The sequence below is a fragment of the Homo sapiens genome, chromosome 1 (genome assembly GCF_000001405.40).
Source record: "Homo sapiens chromosome 1, GRCh38.p14 Primary Assembly".
Classification (NCBI taxonomy): Eukaryota; Metazoa; Chordata; class Mammalia; order Primates; family Hominidae; genus Homo; species Homo sapiens.
In genome coordinates this window covers 211,639,568-211,654,827 of record NC_000001.11, presented here as the reverse complement: position 1 = coordinate 211,654,827, position 15,260 = coordinate 211,639,568, and the positions used below count along the sequence as shown (strand labels likewise).

Genomic DNA, 15,260 nt, shown 5'->3' with positions numbered 1-15,260 from the left:
TCAGGCGGTCCAGTGTCCCCCACCCCCTAGAGCCATCTCATTCAGGACTGCCCTCCCCTGAAACGTTTTATGTTTCCAGAAGACCCTTCTCCTTCCAGGGCAAAGCCCTTTCAGTTAGGCAAGCTAGTTCCCTCAGTGACTTAAGATAAGGCTGTCCTCCTAGGCTGGACTTGGGCTGAATGCAAAAGGCGACACAAGGCAGCTGTTTAAAAAAGAATGAAGCAAATTTATATGCACCAACAAGAAGAGATTATTGCTCATTGTGACTTGGTGGCTGGGAAAATAAGGATCCCTATTAGATTGATGGATTTCACACCAAGGAGGAGGATAGAACCAGCCCTCCCAGAGGGCTGTGCTTGCTGCAGGCTAGCTGATGAGACACGTGGCTTACTTTACCCCTCGCTCAGCCCCAGCCTCAGCCTCCCTCCCTCTACACAGGGAAGACAGAGGTCAGCTGCTGAGGGCCTCCTCCATGCGAAAGGTTGCATTCCACCCGGCATTCAGAGGGGCACCCTCGCTAACCTCCATGGAGGCACCTTGCTTACATTTCTGACACCACAGCCACAGCGACAGCTCTGGGGCCCTACAGCTCCCCTCAAGCTGCTGAAATCCCAGACAACCAAAGCTGCTCATCCCTTGATGCCCTACGACCACCCAGCCAGGAAACAAATCCCCCCTCCTCCCACTGCCTGGACTCTGAGACAATCTCTGGCCATCTTGATGCAACAGAGTGTTCCATAATCATAGTCACACGTTCACAGGAAGTGTTCACAGATGATTCACTCTATTAAAAAACAAAACAAAACAAAACAGTTAAATCATGAAGTGACAACATCGTTGTAAAAAGTTCTAACAATATGGAAAGTATATATAGTGAAAATTAAAAGGTAAACATTCCTCACCCATTAGCCTAGTTTCTATCTCTGCTTTCGGAAGTAGCTATTAACACTTTGGTGTTTGGTGGTCCTTTCTAGACTCTGTGTGTGTGTGTGTGTGTGTGTGTGTGTGTGTTGCGGGATGGGGATAGAGTGTCTCTGTGTATGGGGGTCTGTGTGTGTGTCTGAGTGGATCCATCTGAGTATGTGTATTTAAAACACACGTAGGCTGGGTGTAATGGCTCACACCTGTAATCCCAGCACTATGGGAGGCTGAGGTGGGCAGATCACTTGAGCTCAGAAGTTCGAGACCAGCTTAGGCAACTGGTGAAACCCAAAAATGCAAAAAATTAGCTGGGCGTGGTGGTGTGTGCCTGTGGTGCCAGCTACTCAGGAGGCTGAAGTGGAAGGATTGCCTGAGCCTGGGAGGTGGAGCCTGCAGTGAGCTATGATTGCGCCACTGCATTCCAGCCTGGCGACAGAGTGAGACCTCATCTCAAAAACAACAACAACAACAACAAAAACACACTGGGAAAAATAGGATCTGAATACATGCACTATTCTTTAATTGTTTTTCCAATTAAAAAGAATCCTTTCTTGTTGGTTTAGATAAATAAACCTTTCTTTTTCAGACAGCTGCCCTGTGTCATCATTTACCTTCATCCCAAGTTCATTCTAGAAGGCAGCTTACCTTGAGTCTTCAGGGAACTAGCCTGCCTAGATCAGCCAGAAAGGTGGAGAGTCAGCTTCCACCTCAAGAACTCAGGGCCTGGCAGCCGAGATGGGCACACATCTTTGAAGCCCTTACTTATTCCCACAAAGCAGTTAATCAGCTCCAGTCACAGAATCACCGGTCCCAGTGCTATCCTTAAGAATCTCGTGCTTAAGGCCAGGCTCGGTGGCTCATGCCTGTAATCCCAGCACTTTGGGAGGCCGAGGCGGGTGGATCACTTGAGGCCAGGAGTTCAAGACCAGCCTGGCCAACATGGTGAAATGCCGTGTCTACTAAAAATACATAAATTAGCCAGGCGTGGTGGTGCATGCCTGTAATCCCAGCTACTCGGGAGGCTGAGGCAGGAGAGTCACTTGAACCTGGGAGATGGAGGTTGCAGTGAGCCAAGATTGTGCCACTGCACTCCAGCTTGACCAACAGACTGAAACTCTGTCTCAAAAAAAAAAAAAAACAAACAGAAAAAACAGCAACAACAAAAAACAACCTTGTGGTTGATTAACTGCAGGAGTGGTCATAACATAAAGAAGACCCCCATTAGGGTGTGGCCCCAAAGCACATGCTGGGGGGACCCCACAGCGGTTCACTGACAGCCTCAGGGCTTGCCAGAAATCTGACCCACACCTCCCCTCAGCTCCCTCTCAGCGCCGTGTTGGCCTGCCTGCTGCCAAGACAGGATCCAGGTGGTCCCTTCTGGGGCCCAAACTCTGAACACAGAGAGCTGAGATACCCTGGCTTGGACACTCACCGTTGCCCTGAGCCTGGCTTGCTTGTTTCACCTCTCTGCGCTTCAGTGTCCTCATCTGTGCAATGGGGATGTTAACAATGGCAAAGATCAAGAGGGAATACGCCATAGGCAAGGACCTAGAACAGTACCTACTTACAAAGTTATTTCACTTGGCTTCAGGAGAGATTTAAAGTGGCTTATACGAATACATGGTTATAATAAAATGCATATGTTAAAAGCAAGGAGGAAGAAGACAAGCTAGGGTGAAGCCAGGGATCAGTCCTGCATGAGAATTAGACATGATCATACACTTACCGTTGTTGGACCACAAATCTGTCTCTAAGCTTCCTAGTGGCCAAAACAAAAAAGGGCAAATGGATAGTTATGCCCTAGAGGCCTGTAAAATAAAGGCAGTTCACTTGCTCAGGTAATATTGAACCACTCTGGATGCTAAGGCAAGGCTTTTCTCCTTTGCGTCCTTAGACAAGGGACAGTGTGGTAGAAGGAGCGTCCTCCTCTGTGACATCTGTGAAGTGTGTGCCACCCCTTCTCACCTCTACCCTCCATGTAGCCTGCTGGCATCACTTGAAGCTCAAGTCAGCAAAAGCTATTGTAGCTGGGAGAGTAGTTTTCAAGTATGTTCATGTGTTTCTCTCTTTCTCCATTCTGTATATTTGCCTCTTTCCCCAGTGCCATTTTCAAGAAGAATGGACTGAGGAGGACTGGGATTGTTACAGCAAGAATGTCAAGAGAAAGACAAAGTCCTTATGCAGCCAGTGACATCCAAGGCATGGAGGCAAGATAGTTGAGTCTGCAGCATCTAGAAGTCAAACTTTGACAAGAGAGAGAAGGGTTTCCTAAATTTGCTGAGTTCCACTAACATATTAAGAACCAGGCCTGGCGGACCAGATCCAGGAGTCTGACATAAGCTAAGGAGAACACGCTGCCAGGATGTGCTGCAAGCCAGCACCGCTTCTCTGACTTTAATGTGCATGTGAATCACCCGGGCACCTTGTTAACATACAAGCCCTGGTTCCGCAAGTCCATGGTGGGGCTTGAGAGTCTACATTTCTAATAAGCTCTGGGGATACTGATGCAGCTCGTCCGTGGCCCACTGTCTAGTGGCAAAGATGTTAAGGATATCAAGGCTAAAACTGAAAGGGATTAGAGCTCCCCTCCAGGCCCAGGAAACTGGGAAGAAGATGGGCTGAGGTTGGGGACCTGGGTGGTCACACTCGTGGGCTGATCTTCCTACTGCAGGCTAAAGTCCCAGGGTAGAGGACTGGATTGGTGGGAGTTGGGTGGGGTGAGCAGTTGAATAGATTGAGAGAAAAGGCAAACACAGAGTATTTTGTGCCCTGACCCCCATTTAGAACTTCGTTAGCCTGGTGGTGGCGGCGGGGGGGCGTTGGGAAAGGGGAGGGTGCTCTGCTGAGGACAGGGGAGTATTTGGTTTGACATTCCCAAAGCCCTTGATGCCACGTAATGTGGGAGGAACTGGAAGAGATCCACTTTCTTGTATGTTCCCATGGGGGTTTCCAATGAGGATCTGGCTGGGGGCATAGGGTCTACGTGGGTCTTGGGCTTAATGGGAGTCACAACCATACTTTGGGGGTCAGCAGAGTTTTTGAGAGCAGAGGAGGTGTCCAATGGGTTGTGTAAGCTGGAGGTTACACTCACCAAGGATGTCAACAGCAGATGTCCCCAGGATTGCCAGAGACAGACTGGGCCAGCCCAGCTCATGGACCAGACAGTCACCTAGAGCAGAGAGCTGTGCAAAGAGCAGCTGGGGACCCATCCCACCACTCCCTTGAGCAATGCCATGAGGACTTCCAGAGTTCCTGGTACCACATTACCAAGAGGGCCCAGGAGAAGTGAAGTGGCTCATTAGAGTTGAACTTTGGATTCACTGAATATTTACCCCAGACCAATCAATTGATTAGCCTATCAAATGCTTCTCTCACTAATCATGTAGCAATTGTGGCAATATTAGATTTGTTACAGGTATCAGAAAAAATACCTTTGCTCATCTGGGTAGAGAGGGTGCCCTTTTTTTTTTTTTTTTTTTTTTAGCAGACATACACAGGTGATCTATAATGCTGCTTAACGAATAGTCCTTACTGGCTGGGCATGGTGACTCACACTTGTAATCCCAGCACTTTGGGAGGCCAAGGAGGATGAATCACTTGAGGTCTGGAATTCAAGACCAGCCTGGCCAACATGGTGAAACCCTGTCTTTACTAAAAACACAAAAATTAGCCGGGCGTGGTGGCACACGCCTGTAATCCCAGCTACTCGGGAGGCTGAGGCACAAGAATCTCTTGAGCCTGGGAGGCAGAGGTTGCAGTGAGCCGAGTTCAGGCCATTGCACTCAAGCCTGAGTGACAGAGCAAGACTCTGTCTCAAAAATAAATAAATTAATAAATAGTCCTCACTACTGTTGATGAAAATGCATACCTGGCAGCTTCTGGCTGGGATCAGCAAAGATGCAGGGACACAGGGCTGGGGCCACAGATCTGGGGAGGCCTGGGGGTTCAGCTGGAGGCATCCCCAGAAGCTACAATTTGAGCAGAAGTTGGGAGGAGAGGAGATACCCACATTGGTAAAGAGGGAGCAGAGAAGGGACATAAGAAGGTTTAGGCAAAGTATGGGGGAAGGTCCCATTTATTTGTCCGAGAGCTTCTGTTGCATGCCTGCCATGGAGCCAGGAACCGGGGAGTCAGAAAGATATTCCCTGCCTCATCAGGCTTGCTCTCCAAGGAGAGGATGAAAGGACGCTGCACACCTCTGACCTCTGAACAGGAGCACTGCAGGGAGGTGGTTCTGAGAACCAGGCGTTCAAAATAGTCCTGCCAGTCCCCCTACTGCCCTGCCCTCTGGCTGGAGAGTCTGGAGATGGGGATCTGGATGGTCGGAAGACCAAAGCAGTATATCCCTCACCCCATTCAGATATTTCCCAGGGAGAAGGGGGCAGCCATTTGTATTTAGAAAAAGGTTCCCAGTGAGGGTTCTCTTTTGCCCCTTTCCCCCAGCTTCCCCCAAGGACACACATGCACACCCACCCACCCCCACACAAACACACATGTGTGTGCAAGCTGATGTGTCCAGGGCCTAAAGTTCACGCTGGGGCATGAGGACAGGGGACATAATCTACTGGGAGCAGGAAGAAGACAAGTTGGAAGACCTTTAAAGTCTCTTAGAAGGGATCTGGCTTTATTATTACATATTTTTTCAGTTGCAAATTCACTTTCATCAAGTGCAGCCCCTTATTTTACCATGGGGACCCAGTGGAGGGCAGTAGAGAGGAGGGCTGGCCTGGGCTCACACGGAGCCAGGACTCACGGGGAGCCTGGTGGCCAGGAGTGCTCTCCATAACTCGGAGGCTGCTGGCAGTTCCCCTCCAGCATGCAGGAGAGGATTAATTATTAATTTTGTTTTTTGAGACATATTTTCACTCTGTCACCCAGACTGGAGTGCAGTGGCACAATCTCAGCTCACTGCAACCTCCACCTCCCAGGTTCAAGCGATTCTCCTGTCTCAGCCTCCTGAGTAGCTGAGATTACAGGCATGAGCCACCACATCCGGCTAATTTTTGTATTATTAGTAGAGGCAGGGTTTCGCCATGTTGGCCAGGCTAGTCTTGAGCTCCTGACCTCAAGTGGTCCTCCTGCTTCGGCCTCCCAAAGTGCTGGGATTACAGGAGTGAGCCACCGCACCCAGCCTAATTATTAATTTTTATAACAACCCAGAAACGTATCTGTGAACCATGAGCCCCAACACTTCTTTTCCAAATCCAGCCACTTAATCATGGTTTTAGCTGGGTCAGCTAAAACAGTCCCATCAGCTCAGAAGTGGAAAGCAGTGAAGGCCTTTATCAGCCATTCCTGGGGGCGAAGGCCAAGTTCACTGGGAGCAGCTGGTGGTGTGAGAGCCAATAATATTCTCTAAGAATCTGAGAGGCCTTTGCATATCAGAGCTGGGCCTCATGCTATTCCCTTTCCTGGCATGAGTCATTTCTTACCTTTGTGTTACTTAACTGCAGTTTTCAAAGCACTGTCACAAGACAGGATACCAGACGATTCCCAAACAACACCATAACTAGACTGGGTAGATATTGTTCTCATGGAGAAAATAACGATTCAGAGAGGGAAGTGACCCATCCAAAGTCACACAGACACAAGGACTTCTGTCCTCTGAACGTGACCCCATCCCTGGGCACCTCCCACCTGGAGGAATCCCTGTCTGGGCCATTGTTTTAACACAGGAATATTAATTTAACCCAAGATCCTTGGGTGTGTTTTGGGGTTGTCCATACATCCTCTGAAAGTGTCAACAGCATTTGGGGCATTTGTCTGAGAGTCCATAGAGTTCATCAAATTCTCTCTGATGCTGAACAGTAAGAACAGCAGCTTTCAAATAAGTGGTCCAAAGTCCTACTGTGCAACAGTCACCTGCAGCCATGCCCACCTAATGGGGACTCCTTTTATTGGGTTCTGGGGTTTGCGGGGCACAGCCATGGCCCAGAGCTTGATCAGGCCAGGGAGCTTGCTGCCCAGAAATGTTTGGCTGCCCTTGAATCTGGAACTGTCCAGGCAGCAGACACCAAGCCAGGAGCACCAAGCCAGGCAGCAGACACCAAGCTGGGTCTGACCAGACACTGTCTTTGGAGAGCACGGGCAGCTTCCTTCTAAGAGAGTGGTTATGACTGAGGCAGGTTCAGACACGGCCGCACCTCTGAATAGCCCTGTCCTCAACTAGAGTCTCACCTGGCACTGTGCCCTTAATTTCTACTCCTTCATCTGTAAACGAGAAACACTAGTACCCATTTCATAGCTTTCTATACACTAGGGTGAACTGGCCACAAAATATAATGCAAAAAGTTCCCACTTACAATAGCAAAGCCAAGGAATGAAGTATACAGGAACTGTGCAAAACTCATAACAAAAAATCTGCTGAATGACACTGAGGGACATTAAATAAAAGGCAAAACACACCACACCGAGAACTCAACACTGTCAAATGCCATTTGCCCAAATGCATAAGTCTTATGCAATTCTAATAAAAATATCTAAGATTTACTTTTAATGTGACAAAATGAATTCACCTGGAAATAAATTTATGTATGAATAGAATCATAAAATTTCTGGGAGAAAAAGAACAGGGTGGTTCTGCATTCCCAGACAGTAAAATACATTTTAAAGCTTCAGTGGTAAACAAAAAACAAAAAACCGTGTGAAATGGAAAAAGGACAGGCAGCTCAGTGGAAAAGAAGAGAAGGCCCAGGAACAGATCCTATGTATAAAAAGAAATTGGTAGTGTATGCTGAATGGGATATTCAAATCAGTGATGGAAAGATTCATTGTTTAATAAATGATGTTGGAATAATATGGAAAAACAAAGCTACTAGCCTGGGCAACATGGCAAAATCCCATCTCTACAAAATACACGCACACAAACACACACAAACCCACATACACACACACAAGAAAAGCTAGCCGGGCATGGGGGGCGTGTGCCTGTGGTTGCAGGTACTTGGGAGGCTGAGGATCACTTGAGCCCAGGGAGGTCAAGACTGCAGTGAGCTGAGATCTCGCCACTGCACTCCAGCCTAGGTGACAGAGTGAGACCCTGTCTTTAAAAAAGAAAAGAAAGGAAAGAAAGAAACAGAGAGAGAGAAAGAAAGAAAGAAAGAAAAAGAAAGGAAGGAAGAAAGGAAGAAAGAAAGAAAGAAAGAAAGAAGGAAACAAAAGAAGGAAAGAAGGTAAGGAAGAAAGGAAGGAAGAAAGAAAGAAAGGAAAATAAAAATAAAGCTAGATCCCTGCCTCATCCCAAGTTAAACTCACAATCTTAGTTTCTTCCTATGTAAGATGAAATAAAAATAGTTCCCTGAACATAATAGTAGGGGTGAAGTAAGATTATGCATAAGAATTTCTTAGCCCAATGTCCAACTCATAGTCCCCACCCAATAAGTATTACCTCATATTATTATTAGTGTTATGATTAGTCCAGATGAATTATAATCTAAACATCTAATGACAAAATCATAGCACTACTGAAAATTTAGGCAAATACGTCCCTGATCTCAAGGTGGCAATGGTTTTCATAGAAGCAAAGGAAGAAACCAGCCAAGGCAGGGTGTACCAACAACCTTAAAATGTCCTTATCCTTTGACCCAGCAATTCCAATTTTATGAAGTTTATCCTAAGTATGTGCTCAGATAAATGTGCAAAGATGTTTGTGCAAAAGTGGCTATTGAATGTTTTTTATAACAGCAAAAAATAGGAACAACTTAAATGTCAAAAAATGAACGGTTAAAAAATTTTTAGGCTGTGCACAGTGGCTCACGCCTGTGATCCCAGCACTTTGGGAGGCTGAGGCGGACAGATCGCTTGAGGTCAGGAGTTCAAGACCAGCCTGGCCAACCTGGTGAAACCCCGTCTCCACTGAAAATACAAAAATTAGCTGGGCATGGTGGTGGGCACCTGTAATCCCAGCTACTGAGGAGGCTGAGGCAGGAGAATCACAGAGGTTGCATGAGCTGAGATCATGCCAGTGCACACCAGCCTGGGTGACAGAGTGAGATTCTGTCTCAAAAAACAAACAAAACTTTTGTTCGTCCACACAGTGGACTATGCTGCCACTAAAAATAAAAAATAATCTTACCAGCCGGGCACGGTGGCTCATGCCTATAATTCCAGCACTTTGGGAGGCCGAGGCAGATGAATCATTTGAGGCCAGGAGTTTGAGAGCAGCCTGGGCAACATGGTGAAACCCCCATCTCTACTAAAAATACAAAAATTAGCTGGGTATGGTGGCACATGCCTGTAGTCCCAGCTACTCAGTAGGCTGAGGCATGAGAATCGCTTCAGCCTAGGAGGTGAGGTTGCAGTGAGCCGAGACTGCGCCACTGCACTCCAGAATGGGAGACAGAACGATACTCTATCTCAAAAAAATAAAAATAAAAAATCTTGCTGAACATTAATTGATTGATTGGGAAGAAATACTTAGATAAGAGTGCTAACTATGACCAAAGAAGTATATATTGTATGATATCTTAAATATACCAAAATGTACACCAAAAGGGTTATCTCTGTGTGAGGGAGTAACTTAGTTCTTTTTCTTTATTCTTTCCAAACTCACTATAATAAACCTGCTTAAATTACAATTCTACCAAATTTAATAGGGATTTTTTTTTCTTTGAGACAGGGTCTTGCCTCATTGCCCAGGCTGGAGTGCAGTGGCATGATCTTGGCTCACTGCAGCCTCGACCTCCCAGGTTTAATCAAACCTCCCACCTCAGCCTCTCAAGTAGCTGGGACTACAGGCACATGCCACTATGCTGGGCTAATTGTTGTGTTTTTGTTTTGTTTTGTTTTTATTTTTTGTAGAGATGGGGTTTTACCATGTTGCCCATGCTAGTCTCAAACCCCTTGTCTACCTGTCTCAGCCTTCCAAAGTGCTGGGATTACAGACGTGAGTCAGCCACCATGCCCAGCCTTAATAGGGATTTTAAAAGTTCATTTTACAATTTTTAAAAATTGAGGTCTGGGCTGGGTAGCTCATGCCTGTAATCTTAGGGGTTTGGAAGGCTGAGGTGGAAAGATTGCTTGAGGCCAGAAGTTTGAGGCCAAAGTGAACTATGATCTTGTCACTGCACTCCAGCCTGGGCAACAGAACAAGACCTTGTCTCTAAAAAAAAAAAAAAAAAAAAAAAAGTAAAAATTGGTGTATTTCCAATTTTTTGTGCATTTAAAAGTCAATTATTGAACAGAGGTTTTCCAAAAGATACTCCTTTTTTTTGAGTCAGAATCTCGCTGGAGTGCAGTGGCACAATCTCAGCTCACTGTAACCTCTGCCTCCTGGGTTCAAGCAATTCCCCTGCCTCAGCCTCCCGAGTAACTGGGACTACAGGCGAGTGCCTCCACGTCCAGTTAATTTTTTTTTTTTTTTTTTTGTTTAGTAAAGACGGAGTTTCACCATGTTGGCCAGGCTGGTCTTGAACTCCCAACCTCAGGTAATCCACCCACCTCGGCCTTCCAAAGTGCTAGGATTACAGGTGTGAGCCACCGCACCTGGTCTACAAAAGATACTTCTCACCTTTGTTTCTCAAACTAGGGTAAATCTGTGGCATCTGCTAATAGGTCATCACAAGAACATGTGCACAATTTACTTGACTAATCCTCCCTTAGACATTACTTTTATATGAAAACAAATCCAAATGAATTATAAGATAAATATGAAATGCTTATGGTTTCTTTTTCCAGATAGAGCAAGAGACCAGGCAGCCGTCAACCCCCAGATGGCGGCTGCTTCAGGCAGGTCCCTGTCCATGAGCTCTGCCTTAGCTGCTTTGGAGAGGAGGAGGGGCCTGGTGCAAGCCCACGGCACTGCAGTGACATTTGTCCCCACACCCGGGGAAGTGGCCAGCGGAGCCTTATGTTTTCTTGAAAGTTCAAAGTCTCAGGTGTCACAAGTCCCCTCAGCCAAAGATTCCTCAGGTGGAGCCTTGCTTCCCAGAAGCCTCCAAAACAAACAGCAGTAAGTAAATGAGACCCGAGAAGCTGGCAGGCAGCCAGCTTGGGGCAGGATGCAGGGCTGGGGGTGGCGGGAGTGTAGAAGAGGCTGAGGGCTCCCAGCACACCGGCCTGCTGGGGCAGCTCCTTTCCAAGGACCTCATGCTTCCCTCAGCAGCCGGTGCCTCTGGGCAGGACAAGGCGCACAAAATGGGAATGCAGGCTGCCTGAGTGAAACTTGGCTGGGTCTGGGAGCAGGCTGGGCTGGCAGGAATGCTGTGAAGCTGGCAAATTCTGTGCAGGGTGAGGCAGGGCTCATACCAGCTGCCCGCATAATGCCAAGGCCTAGGGTGCTGACTGTGGGTCATCTCACCAGGGCAACCTGTGTCCCAGGCTGCTCAGGAAACAGACGCCCAGGGGCCGAGCCTTGGCGTGTCTCGCACTTTCTGGGCCTCTGAGTCCACGGATGTTAGCCCACATCAAAGAAAGAGGCTCACCATTCAGGGGCATGGCGGGGCAGTGAACTTCCCACAAGCTCTCCCTGCTCTCACCATGGGCTGCAGCCTTGACCTTGGCTTTGTTTATGAGGGAGATGGTGAGGAAAGCCTTCCAGCAGGGGGGACGTGTCGGGGAGGCCACAGGACAGCCGGCATTCATGGAGCTTTTACTCCAGGTCAGACCCTGTAATAGCTGCAGACATGCATTTTCTCACATTTCTCGTCACAATTGCTGGATTATCTCCATTTCACAGGTGAGGAAACTCAGGCTTGGAAACAATCAGTGGAGATAGAGGAAGGTCACACAGCTAGTGAATTGCTAGCTAGGGGTGGACGGATATACACTCACATCCACCATGCTCCTGAGCTAGGCGCTTCCATTGCCCCAGCCCTGTGTCATTACGGAGCCCACCTCTAGGCCCAGCCACTGCCACCCTCCAGGCCCCTCTCAGCCCATAGCCCCCCTGTGCTCCCCTGCCTTGCATCCTTGATCAAGTCCTCAGGGATCTGCCCAGTTTCCTCTCTTTGAGAAAGCTGTCACTCCCCTCTCTGGCTAGGACATGGCTGAAGGTGGAGTGCTGACCTCTCCTCCTCTTCTTCCAACACAGGCTCATGGGCCTCTCCTCCCTGCTTCCCTGGGTTAGTTTTCCTCTGGAAAATCAGGTAAGTGATCATCAAAATAGCAAGCATGAGTTTACAAAGGTTCTAGAACCAAGCTGAGCCCTCATACGCGCTCCCTGGTTGGTGGTCCCTGACTGCCTCTGAGAAGGACATTGGAAGCCCAGGTGGAATGTGAACTCTACATTTATTTCTAAGAGTTTAGAGTTTACTAAGACCCCCACTTTTACCCCCACCCAATTCTTTCCTTCCCCTAGCCCCTTTGTTTGGTCTCTTTTGGTGGCCAGAGGTAGTGAAGGCAGGAGGGCTCACACTTTCTTGGGTGGGCTATTTGCTTCTCTGTGTTTTCCATTCCATCCCACCCCAGCCTCCCCCTGTTCCCAAGGAAGCCAAAGATGGGGCATTAGATTTGCGTGTTTTAGTCTTCTATCTTCGCATGAGCAATGGCCAGACCCTAATTAACCCTAGAGATGAAAGCTGTCTCAGAATCCACCTGGGAGACCATACCTTAAAAACATTGAAGAGTGGGGCCTACTGATTTTGTTTTCTAAGCTAAGTCAAAGGTTCGAAACAATAAATCTTTCTCTACGCAGGAGGAGCAGTGCTATTAGCTCATGGCTGCTGAGCCCATTGGATTTCACCCACAGCTGTGTGTGGGTCAGCAAGGTGGCAGCTTAGAGATGCAAAAGTGGGAAGGGGTCTGGGCATGGTGGCTCACATCTGTCATCCCAACACTTTGGGAGTCCAAGGCAGGAGGATCACTTGAGCCCAGGAATTTGAGACCAGGCTGGGCAACATAGTGAGACCCCATCTCTACAAATTTTTTTTTTTTTAACTAAAAACCAAGTGAGAAGGGAAACTATTTCACAGAGTTGTTGAGTGAATTCACTAGACAACACTTATGCCATTCCTGGTACATAGAGAGCACCAAATACATGTTAGCTGTGATTATGCTGTGGAATCATGATTCTTTGGGGCCCCTGACACTCACTGAACAATATGAAAATGTTCTATTTTCTGTACGTCACTTTCCTCTTTCTGTCCATAAATTTCCTTCCACCATGTGGCTGCGCTGGAGTATCTCTGAATCTGCTGTGATTTGGGGGCTGCCTGACTGTTCATTGCTCAATTAAACTCCTTTAAATTTAATTTGGCTGAAGTATTTCTTTTAACAATGCAAAGTGCCGTATGGGTTGACTTAGGGATCAAACCCAGCCCAGGCCTCCCTGGGGAGGTAACGCTGAAGCGGAGTCTCAGGATGAGAAGGATTTAGCCAGGGGCTTTGCAGCAACTTTGGGCATTTTCCAAGAGCTTAGTTGGGCTAAAGGGTTGGCCTTGGTTAGGAGGGTAGACCATTCAAATGTACCTCAATGGATAAATGGATTTTAAAAATGTGGTATATACGTACAATGCAATATTATTCAGCCTTAAAAAATCCCGACATTTTCGGCAACATGGATGAACCTGGAGGACATTATGTTAAGTGAAATAAGCCAGATACAGAAAAACAAATACTGTATAATGTCACTTATATGTGAAATCTAAAAAAGTTGAACTCATAGAAGCAGAGAGTAGAATTGCTGTTGCCAGCAGCTCAGGGGCGGGAAAATGGGGACATGTTGGTCAAAGGGTACAAAGTTTCAGTTATGCAATATGAATAAGTTGTGGAGATCTAATGTATAGCGTGGGACTATAGTTAACAATTCTGTATTATATACTGGAAATTTACTAAGAGGATAGTTTTTTTTTTTGAGATGGAGTCTCACTCTGTCATCAGGCTGGAGTGCAGTGGTGCGATCTCAGCTCACTGCAACCTCCGCCTCCCCGGTTCAAGCGATTCTCCTGGCTCAGCCTTCCGAGTAGCTAGGACTACAGGCACGCGCCACCACGCCAAGCTAATTTTTGTATTTTTAGTAGAGATGGGGTTTCACCATGTTGGCCAGGATGGTCTCAATCTCTTGACCTCGTGATTCGCCTGCCTCAGCCTCCCAAAGTGCTGGGATTATAGACGTGAGCCACCACATCCGGCTGAGGATAGATCTTAAGTGTTCTCATCTCTCACACACACAAAGAAGAAAATAGTGACTGTATGAGGTGATGGATATGTGAATTAGCTTGATGGTAGTGATCATGTCATAATGTGTACATATATCAAAACATCAAGTTGTACACCTTAAATATACACAATTTTTATTTGTCAATTATATCCCAATAAAGCTGTTTTTGTCTTTTGTTTTTAAAAAAAGAGTTCAAAGTTCTAATACCTAAATTACTTTTCCAGGCCTGGTTAATTCCCATTCTCTTGCCAGTAACTTTTAGTAGAAAGAAGGACAGTCTCCCCTCTCCCTTCCCAATCCTCCCCTCCACCCTAGCCCTTGTCCCAATACAGAGGCTTTGATGAGTTCTGCTCTGAAGTGCCCAGTGGTCAATAAGCACCAAGAATCCTGACCCAGCCAGGCATTATCTCCCGGCAGGCTTGCTTTTCACCAAGGCCTCCTGGTACTCACATGTTGAAGTTATTTTATCTTGCCTTCAAAGCTTGTAGTGATCAGAGGTATTAAACTCTGGAGCCAACAGCTAATATTTGTTGAGCAAAATCTCATGCAATCTTTGTAGCAGCCCTGTGAGAGAGGTTCCCCCGCTATCAGCCTGATTTACAGAACAGAAAAGTCACTTGCCTGAGATTACACAGCAAGCCGAGAGGCTGAGATTCAGATTCATACATCTGACTCCCGAGTGCTTGGGTTTAACCCTCGAGCTCCTGTCTCTTGGCAGACCCCGTGGATCAGTCCGCTAAAGTTGACCCGAGGAATTTCCCTCCTTCACCTCTGAGCTTATATCCAATCCTCGATCTTCAAGTTTTCATCACTCCTGGGATATTTCCCTTTAGAGGCAGCTGATTCACAGACCCATGGAGTCAGAAGTTTACATTTTACTGACAGATCAATTAGTTCCCAAGGGAGGATGTAGAGTCCTACCTTGCAAGAAACCCCAAGGACCAGCAGGTCTCTCTGCTCCAGTGTCCCTGGGCCCCTTGTCAGCCATGGCCAGGGTTGGGACAGGCAGAAACCAGCCTGAGAAAAGCACGGAAAACAATGTCCAGTGCCATGATCAGGGGTGGGTCCGGTGGGCTGCTTCCTGGCATGCTGATCTATGCTGGGGCTCAAACATCACTGGAGCGAGTGTGGAACCAGATGACGCAGTTCCTATGCACGTCTCCTCTCAACTGTGATGTGAAACTTGGTCTAGCTTCTGCCAAAGAAAACACAGCCATTGAGTAGGAATAAAATTTGTTCCTGG

The 15,260-nt window shown here is 47.3% G+C and overlaps 1 long non-coding RNA gene across 1 annotated transcript, besides 2 other annotated features; it reads right to left on the bottom strand.

Moving 5' to 3' along the window:
• Window positions 1-205: 205 nt before the first annotated feature.
• Window positions 206-15,020, bottom strand: NTRAS (non-coding transcript regulating alternative splicing). Its single transcript, NR_131925.1, has 3 exons — window positions 14,939-15,020; window positions 14,468-14,609; window positions 206-784 (listed from the first exon to the last, which is right to left on the bottom strand). It is a non-coding gene; the product is annotated as a non-coding transcript regulating alternative splicing (long non-coding RNA).
• Window positions 5,527-5,821: an enhancer, noted in NCBI's record as "tiled region #10021; HepG2 Activating DNase matched - State 4:PromP". NCBI's record gives its function as "activates a minimal TATA promoter and a strong SV40 promoter by Sharpr-MPRA in HepG2 cells {active_cell/tissue: HepG2}" and the evidence as "EXISTENCE:reporter gene assay evidence [ECO:0000049][PMID:27701403]".
• Window positions 11,402-12,237: an enhancer, noted in NCBI's record as "H3K27ac-H3K4me1 hESC enhancer chr1:211815933-211816768 (GRCh37/hg19 assembly coordinates)". NCBI's record gives its function as "activates a minimal SCP1, AML or CMV promoter by ChIP-STARR-seq in primed H9 embryonic stem cells {active_cell/tissue: H9 hESC(primed)}" and the evidence as "EXISTENCE:reporter gene assay evidence [ECO:0000049][PMID:30033119]".
• Window positions 15,021-15,260: the final 240 nt, after the last annotated feature.